Raw genomic sequence first — 10,211 nt, 5'->3', positions numbered from 1 at the left:
CTCCTGCTGCCACAGTGACCTGGAGGTATCGCTGCCATGGAGGCAGCTGCAGCTCTCTGTTCTCCTTGGTAAGGTGACATTGGCGGTCCCATCTCCAACTGAACTCTTTGTTCAGGATGCTCAGGAAGCGAAGCTCCTTCTGCCTGCCCTGGGGCCAGACACTCCAGCAGAGGGGTGTCGCTGCAAAAAAGGAACAAGATATGAGGGGGATGAGGAGAGGGACGATGTGGGGCGTGAAGAATGACACCATGTCTGTTGGGAGCAAGAAGGGACATGGAGGCACCAGTCGCCAAGAGAGAGAACACGAGAGGAGAACATATTTGGGGCTAGAACGAGACAATTTTAGATGTGTGAAGTTGGATGTAGCTGTGTGATTTTCAGATGGATTTGTCAAGTAATCACTTAAAGAGGCCTGAGTTGGATATACACATTCGGGAATCACTGAGGCATAAATGGGCCATAAAGTCAAAGAATGGGTGAATCTCTTAGGCGGAATCTGAGGCTGTGCAGAAAAGAGGGCTCACGTTTGCAGATCAGAGAGAGGAAAGGAGCCGCCAGCACAGGAGAGAAAGGGAAAGGCCATTGGAAGGGAAAAAGTAGTTGATAAACCGAGACAGGAGAAGAGAGAGGACGTCAACAGGAGAGAGGAATCCACGGCGAGCAATATGCTCATCTTGAGGCGAGGACTGACGTGTGTGTGGCAGCGAATCAGTGAGGATCATTGTTAAAGAACACTGGCTGGAAAAGGCTCCACTTTCTCCCATTTATTCTCATTCATCTGCTAATCGGCTGTTCCTAGCCATCGTGCTCCCTCACAGGGTTTTACTGCATGTTCAGTATCAGCATCGAGAACCAGGAGGCCACACTCACCCGAGGCTGCTTGGCCCACCACCGGTCCCCATCCTTTGGAGACCAAAAAGCAGTTCCTAGAAGCTGGCTGGACACTAAGGTTCTTCCTGGTACATTTTCCCTTAAGGTAAGTGGTCTGGCTATTTCCAGTACCTGGGTCCACCACCGTTTATTTGCTGTTATGCTGGTTCAGTCCATATACACCCATGGTGTGGAAGAGCTGTGAAAATTTCTGTCTTATGTCACAGAAAGAGTGAAGCAAGAAGAAAACAGTCTCCATAGGAGTGCAGAGAAATTGGAAATGTCTGGGGAAAAGACGATGTGTGGTTGCTAGGGACAGGCTACTGTTTTCCGTGTAAGCTATGAGTCACCCGTGCTGACAAAATGTTCACGGTGGTGTGCAGAGCCCAAGGAGAGAGTCTCACCGCACATTCCTGAATGGGCAGATGGCGTCTCCCTGTAAAAATGAGAACGGCTCTAGTCACGGAAGGCACAGTTGTTGAAGGATTTTCTTTCTTTCTCCACACTCTCGGACTCCCTTGCCTTCCGTCCAGTGACAGAACAGCATCCTCGCAGGAATATTTTCCCCTTTGGATCCATCCAGCAGTGAAGTAAAATGTGCCTTTGTGCAGCAAATGAAAGTACTAACACTGTCGAGGTTTTCAAAGCAGCAGCTTCAATCATGGGACCTTAGATGGATTCAGGTATTCACTATTCACAGACTCACGACATTGGTTGCAACAATTTTTATTGCCTTTTGTGTGTGTGTATTTTCCTTTTATATGAAAATTTCAAAGAATTATGTAATAAACACCTGACTATATATGATGAAGTTTGAAAAGTGAAATATTGCAAGTATAGTTGAAATCACTACTGTACACCTCTCTCATTCTATTCGCCCCACTCATGATGCGCAGGAAACCATTCTCTTGAATTGGATGTTCATTTCCATTCAAATAGCTATATTTTCACAACATACATATTTTTACCAAAGTTATTATGGTATTTTAGTTTTATATTGCATAATCTTACATTTACAAAAATAGCACAGAGTTCCCATATATCCTTCACCAGCTTACCTTCATGTTAACAACTCATACAATCATGCGATAGCAATCAAAATCTGGAAATTAACATTGGAAAAATATTATAGACCTTATTCAAAAATTAGAATAAGATATATTGTATAGACTTTATTCAAATTTTTATAGCCCAACAAAATATCTTAAAGATCATTTTATATTAACACACAAAGATCTACCAAATCTTTACTGTGTATATATATGAATTTTACTAGTAGAATATTTTCCTAGAATTGGAAATTCTGGGCCAAAGGGTATATGCATATTACATTTAATAAAAACTACAAAACTGACCCTGAAAGAGGTTGTACCAATTTGCACAACCCATTTCAGCATGCAGAATACCTTCTTACCTACACTCTCGTCAGCACTACCACTAGACATTACCATTCCGATAGGTGAAAAATAACTGCTTTATTGAGATAATATTCGCATACAATACATTAACCCTCTTTACATGTTCAATTCAATGGTTTTTAGTATATTCAAGGTTGTGCAACCAGCACTGCTATCTAATGCTACGATATTTTCATCACTTCATACACACTAGCAATCACTCCCCATTCCATCTTCCCTTATCCCCTGGAAACCACGAATCTGTCTTCTATGTTTATAGAGTTGTCTATTCTGGACATTTTAAATAAGTGGAATCTTACAGTATGTGGTACTTTGTCATTGGCTTTTCTCACTTAACGTAATGTTTTCAAAATTCATCCAAGTTGCAGTGCGTATCAGTATTTCATTCCTTTTTATTTTCCATTTCACTGTATGGATTCCACGTTTTCTTTTCCCATTCATCCTCCAATGGACATTTTGGTTGTTTCTACCTTTTGGCTTTTTGGAATAATGCTGCTATAAACATTTGCACACAACTTTTTATGTGGATATTTATTTTCATTTCTCTTGAATATATTCTTAAGAGAAGAATTACTGGGTCGTATAGTGACTGCATATTTAATGTTTTGAAGAACTGCCAAAATGCTTCCAAAGTTGCTGCATCATTTTACAATCCCTTCAGCAATGTATGAGGGTTTTAATTTATCCATATCCTCACCAACAATTGTTATTGTCTTAAAAATTTTTTTAGCCATCCTAGCAGATGTGAAGCAGTATATCATTATGGTTTTGTTTGTATATCCTTACTGATTAATTTTGCATATGCTCATTGGCTGTTTCTATATTTTATTTGGAGAAATGCCTGTTAAAATCTTTTGGCCACTTAAAAAAATGGGCTACCTTTTATTGTTGAGTTGTTAGAGTTCTTCATATATTCTAGATACAAATCTCTTATGCAGTACATGATTTGCAAATGTTTCTCCCATTTTATAGTTATCTTTCCGTGTTTTTGGTGATGTCTTTGGATGCCTAATGTTTTAAATTTTAATGAAGTACAATTTATTTATTTATTTTTTGCTGTTGTTACTTGTGCTTTTGGTGCCATATCTAAGAAAATATTTCCCAACTCAAGGTCATGAAGAGTTATTGCTATAGTTTCTTCTAAGAGTTTTATATGTTTGCCTCTTACATGTTGATTTTAGATACATTTTGAGTTGATTTTTGTGTGTGGTGTGAGGAAGTTTCCAACTTCATTCTTTTAGATGCTGATATCTTATTTTCTCAGCATCATTTGTGGAAAAGACACATTTTTCCCCATTTTATTGCCTTGGCATTCTTGTTAAAATTAATCAGAAAATGTACTCAATTTCATGTAGTTTCCTCAACTTTTTACTCCCCTTCACAATTCACCTGATTTTGAGACTTTTCAGAGTCCTTAAGTAGTTACCTTTTGTGTTTTGTCCAGAGGCTTAATTTTTAAACTTGACAGGAAAATAGTTACACAGTCATATGTAGGAACCTTGCCCCTCTCTGCTCCACAAAACATCCACACAACAACCTGCCCCCAAATGCTTAGAGCCCCATTTTTAAAATAATTGCCAAAGTTTGGAAGCAACCAAGAGAGTTGTCAACGTCTGGCCCATCAGGCAGCTCCGTGGAAAAGACCCATTATCTTTAATTGCTCTGATGCAGAGCTTGCTCAGTGGTGATAGCCCTATCCTCAGAGCATTTGTCAAAGCAATAAATACAGTTGTTTAATATCATAGTTGTACGAGATGGCAATACCAGTTTGGACAAAAAAGCCAAAGAAGGGGATTTCTAACTTTGCTTTTGAACTTAGACAATCTTGTTGTTAGGTCTTAGCTGTGAATGGGCAGAACAGATCCAAAGAAGCATAACAAAATATTTGAGAATGAAACTGAGATTAGAAACTCTGCCCATAAGTAAACAAGACTAAAGACTAAGTTTGTGGTCAGAATCTAACTGGGCTAATTGCCTATTAAAACAAAAGCATCAATATTCTTCAGAGGATTGTAACGGGACTCAGAATCAATGTATCATTCAAATATCTATTAAACAATCCAAAATTTTATACAAAGAATTAGAAAAAAATGTGACTAATTTTCAAGTAAAAAAACAATAAACAGATGTCAACCCCAAGATGTACAGATGTTAACATTATTAGACCAGGACTTTATAGCAACTATTGTTACTATGCTTTATAAAGTAATGGTAAATAAATTGGAATAATCAGAATGATAGTGGTGACCACAGGAAAAAACAGAAATTATTAAAAAGAGCCAAAATAAAAACTTAGACCTGAAAAACAAATAAACCAAAGTTAAAAATACACTGGATGAGTTCAATAGCAGAATGGAGAAAACAGAATAAAGTGTCAGATAATCTAAAGGTAAATCAATAAAAATAATCCAATCTGAAGGACAAAGAGAAACATTATTGAAAAAAATGACAAAATGCAGGAAACAATAAGCAGATATCAAAAGGTCTAAAATATGTGTCACTGAAGTTCCCGAGGATCAGAAAAAGAGATTGGTGCAGAAAAAACATTTGAAGAAATAATGGCTAAAAGTGTTCCCAATTTGGTGAAAGATATACTCAAAGAAACCAATTATAATCAAATTGTTGAAATCCAAATATAAAGAAAAATTCTTTAAAGCAGCTAGAGAAAAATGGCACGTCCAGGGAGATAATAATTTGAATGATTAGATGTCACATTAGGAACTGTGAAGACCAGAAGATGTTAAAACAACATATTTACTGAAAAAAAAGAACTGTCAATCCAGAATTCTATATTGAGCAAAAATATCCTTCAGGGACAAGCATGGTGGCTTATGCTTTGGGCAATGTTTTCTTAGATATGGCACCAAAAGCACAAGTAACAACAGCAAAATAAATAAATAAATTGTACTTCATTAAAATTTAAAACATTAGGCATCCAAAGACATCATCAAAAACACGGAAAGATAACCTATAAAACGGGAGAAACATTTGCAAATCATTTACTGCATAAGAGATTTGCAACTAGAATATATGAAGAACTCTAACAACTCAACAATAAAAGGTAGCCCATTTTTTTAAGTGGCCAAAGGATTTTAACAGCACTTTGGGAGGCTGAGGCAGGTGGATCACTTGAGGCTAGGAGTTCGAGACCAGCCTGGCCACCATGGCAAAACCCCGTCTCTACTAAAAATACAAAAATGAGCCAGGTGTGTTGGTGCACACTTCTAATCCCAGCTACTTGGGAGGCTGAGGCATGAGAATCACTTGAACCTGGGAGGCAGAGGTTGCAGTGAGCCGAGATTGTGCCACTGCACTCCAGCCTGGGCAACAGAGTGAGACTCTTTCTCATTCTCTCTCTCTCTTTAAGGAATTCAGGAATAAAGCAATGTCAAGATATTCTCAGATGAAAGAAAATAAGAAAACATCACCTGCAGACCCACTCTACGAGAAATGCAAAATGAAGTTCTTCATGCTGCAGAAAAATGACACTTGAGAGAAACTTGGCTTTTCAGTAATAAAGGGAAGTCAACGATAAATAGCTAGGATAATATTTTTTTCCTCTGAACTTCTCTCAAATACTTATGACTATTAAAATCAAAAATTATAATACTGCCTGGTGGGGTTTTCAATGTGTGTAGACATAATCTATGACATCTATAGCATACAGGTCAATGCGGGTGGTAGTGGTAGAGGGTCCAATATGTCTGCAAGTTTTCTTTGTTTTACTTAAAGTGAGACAAGTTAACTCTAAGTCAAATGTGAAAAATTAGTTATGCATATTTTAACCTATAGAGCAAACCCTAAACCATGTATAGGATGTAGCTGAAAAGTCCATAGATGAATTAAAATGAAATACTAAAAAAATTAAATTATCCAAAAGGAAGGAGGAAACGGGGATCCAGTAAACCAAAGTGGAGGGAACAAATGGAAAATAAGTAATAAAATGGAAGTCCTAAACCAACCATATTCGTACTTACAGTAAATGTTAATAGTCTAAACATGCTAATCAAAAGCCAGCGATTGTTGGCATGGATAAAAAATAATAGCATACTATATGCTGACTACAAGAGACATGCTTTAGGCCGGGCACAGTGGCTCACACCTGTAATCCCAGCACTTCGGGAGGCCGAGGCTGGTGGATCAACTGAGGTCAGGAGTTCAAGACCAGCCTGACCAAAATGGTAAAACCCCATCTCTACTAAAAATACAAAAATTAGCTCCGCGTGGTGGCAGGTGCCTGTAATTCCAGCTACTTGGGAGGCTGAAACAGGAGAATGAGAATCACTTGAACCCCGGAGGCAGAGGTTGCAGTGAGCGCTGGGCAACAGGTAAGACTCTGTCTCAAAAAAAAAAAAAAAAAAAAAAAAGGAAAAGAAAAGAAAGTAAAAGACATGCTTTAAATATGAAGACAAAGGTAGGTTGAAAGAAATGGACCAGAAAAGACATACCATGAGCAAATGACATGGATAAAAGGCTGGAGTGGCAAATGTAGTATCAGAGCGTTACTAGAGACATTTCATTATCATAATCATAAAGTGACAATTCGTCAAGAAGATTTAGCAATTAACTATGTGCATGTGCTTAATACACAGCCTTAGATACATAAAGCAAAATGAAAAGAACCAGGAAATACTGACAACTTCACAATTATAACTAAGAATTTTTTAATATATCTCTTTCTGCAATTGATAGAACAAATTGACAAAAAATCAGTAAAGACAGGGACGACCTGAACAACACAACCAACCACTTTTATCTCATTGCTATTTATAGAACACTACATTCAGCAACTGCAGAATACACATTTTTTTTCCAATGCACGTAATACATTTGCTAACACAGACAAGCTGGTGGACATAAAACAAGCCTCATTAAAAGCACTGAAGTCCTGCAAAGTATATTTTCTGAACACAATGGAATTTATTTAGAAATTAGTAACAAGATATCTAGAAAAACACTTTAAATATCTGACAATTAAAGAACACACTTCTAAATAGTTCATAGGCCAAAAATGAAATCAAGGGGAAACTAGCAAATATTTTGATATGCATGACAACAAAAATCCAACATATTAAAATCTGTGGGATGCAGCTGAAGCAATGTTTAGAGAGCTTTGTCACTTTAAATGCTGATATAAGGAATGTGAACTTGGGGATTGAGATTTGGAATTAGTAGTCATTTGCAGCCAGGTGTAATGGATCAACAAATACTTCACAATGAGAAAAAGCAGAAGCCAAACGTGCACCTCGAGAAACATCAGCTCTAACGAGAGCACAAGGATAGCAAGATAGGTACAGGAGAAGCAGGTGAGTGCAGTAAGTCCTATCAGCCTCTGACTTCATCCCACCAGCAATCGAGGCAAACAGGTTATTATCCTCATGGTATAAATACAGCCATGAGCCTGTAGCTGCAATAGTCAAAAAGGCCACACGATGGCGCGACAACACCAGCAAAGCTGCTTATGCCTTTGCATTTTTAATTTCGCCGTGTGAGTGCACCCTCCTCTGTGTGTGCACAGAATGTATCAATTTATTAAACCGCTTACACGTCCAACCAATACTCACTGAGCTGCTACTACATGCCAGGTACTGGGCTACTACTGTGAACAAGACAATTGCCTTCCCAGGAGTGGGGTTGGGGTATAGAAAAAAAAAGGAAGTCAAAAGGGATAATTTCAGAGTGTGGTAAAGGGTTTGAGAAAAACAGATGGAGAAGCAGAGAACTGGACCAAGGTATGGCACAACCACGTGGTCAGGACGACAAGAAGTGACTGCCCCTCACATCTTACTCATAACTGCAGTGGGACAAACTCCACGCCCACGTGGAGCACCTAGGTTCAAACTCACATTTACTGTTTCTGGTCAGCTTTCTGCACACTTCAGTAAACAACTTATTTTGCCTATCTGTGATTCTGACATTGTTTCTTATGTATGAATCCAATCTATCTATATATCTATCTACCTATCTATATATCCATCCCCCCATCGACCCATCCATCCATCCATCCATCCATATCCATCCACCCATCCATGTATCCATATCCATCCATCCATGCATCTATCCATCCATCCATCCATCCATATCTATCCATCCAGCCAGCCAGCCTTCCAGTCAGCCACCTAAGCAGTCAGTCAGCCAGCCAGCGGCCATCAGTTTGTCATCATCGATCTATTCTATGTCAGGTAGAACACTACTTTTCCGCATTAGCTACCCAATAACTTAGCTCCTGGGACCTCATTCTAGCTGAGGACCTACCTCCACCTGTGTCTGCTCCAGAACTGGAGTGGTGAGCACTCTGCTCTATTGTGTGCAGATTCTTCGAGGCAAGCAAAATTCAGAGTTTACCGATGGGTAAATTGGAATGGGTGCAGTGACAGGAGAATGGAGAAAAAGAAAGCATATTTAATGAATTGCAGGTGAAGAAACTGGGCTGTTATCTGGAGAGAGGAAACCTCAGGGTTGTAGGGGGAGATCAGGGAGAGGTGAGAGCCTTCAGAGTCTGGGGTGATGGTGCAGGGGCCAGGGAGGATCTCACAGGGCAGAGCAAAAGGAGCCATGGGAAGGCAGTGTGGATGGAATGAATAGGCGCTCCCCGACATCGGGCCACATAAAGGTGCGCTGAAGGGCACATGGGGCAGGGAGAGCCCACCGCCAGCACTGCAGGGCCTAGGGTGGCACCAGCCAGAGACACTGGCGGCAGTGGAGGAGACAGTGGATCGCTATTGAACCAGATAACTTTTTAGATTTCTTATGATTCTGAAATTCTCTGATTTCTTAAAAGAAATTGAGCCAGTCTGGAGAGAGTAGGAAGAAGAGTCAAGAAAAGACACCAAACAAGTTGGCAAAGTTGGAGTGAGGCAAGAAAGTACAAAATGGAGTCACGAAGCCCAGGGCAGCAGGCTTGTGGGGTGCTTAGAGGTTCTTGGTGATGTCAAGGTTGACAAACAGAAGACAGAGCAATGCCTCAGCTATAGCAATGGTCACCGGACCTCTGGGTTTCCACACAAAGGAGGGTTAGAGCCAGACTGCGAGGGCTGAAGAGAGAGAGGATGGTGCAGGGGGTAGACAGGGGCCTGCTCTTCGTTAACTTGTGCATGCGGCAAAGGAACAAGATAGACCTGGATGATGAGCTGGCAGGAAGGTGCAAAGGTGTGTTTATCTGCATATTTGTTTGTTTGTTGTTTAAGTATTTTGCAAGCAATGTACTTAGCAGAGTAGATTGTCAGGGAGATGTGTTTATCTGCATATTTGTTTGTTGTTTAAGTATTTTGCAAGCAATGTACTTAGCAGAGTAGATCGTCAGGGAGATGTAAGTGACCACTGGAGATGCAAGCAACGTGGAAACATTCAATCTCTCAAGAAGAAGCCTGGGGATAGCATGGGGTATTATGTCAACATCAGATCTTGGCAAAGCAAAGGTCTGTCTGGGATGTTACCATGGCAAGATCGAGGGAAAAGGCAGCTGAGAAGCGAGTGAAGAAGGGACTTGGAATGTAAAACAGAGCTGAGCCTGCATTTCAGCCCTGGCTCAACTTCTTCCAATTGTGGGATCTTGGACAAGTCACATAAGGAAAGGAATCTATGTTTCTTGTTTGTCAGATAATCAAATGATTGCTGCTATTTATTGTTTATTAAGTCTCAGCCCTACACGAAGTAAGTGCTTTTTATGTATCAGCTCAAGAATTCTTCTATTAACAACTCTATGGAGCTGGTGAAAGGATTTCCCAAGGTCACAAAGCTGATGGATGCCTGTTCCTCTAACAACTAGGATTCAGGGCCTCCTTAGTTATTTGCCTTTCACAGTTGTTGCAAAAATTAAGAAATAACAAATATTCAAAGTTGTCATTCTTATAGTGGGATCATGGCCTTCCATAATCTGACAAATATGCCTCTATTAATGTAGCCCAACATTTTCAGTAATTA

The 10,211-nt window shown here is 39.6% G+C and overlaps 1 annotated feature.

Annotated features, from left to right (window-relative positions):
* Positions 445-1,644: an enhancer, noted in NCBI's record as "BRD4-independent group 4 enhancer chr6:166525837-166527036 (GRCh37/hg19 assembly coordinates)". NCBI's record gives its function as "activates an origin of replication core promoter dependent on BRD2, P300/CBP, MED14 and CDK7 cofactors, and independent of BRD4, by STARR-seq in HCT116 cells {active_cell/tissue: HCT116}" and the evidence as "EXISTENCE:reporter gene assay evidence [ECO:0000049][PMID:35650434]".

The sequence above is a fragment of the Homo sapiens genome, chromosome 6 (assembly GCF_000001405.40).
Source record: "Homo sapiens chromosome 6, GRCh38.p14 Primary Assembly".
Classification (NCBI taxonomy): Eukaryota; Metazoa; Chordata; class Mammalia; order Primates; family Hominidae; genus Homo; species Homo sapiens.
The sequence above is the reverse complement of the archived record's forward strand: the minus strand, read 5'-3'. Positions and strand labels throughout refer to the sequence as shown.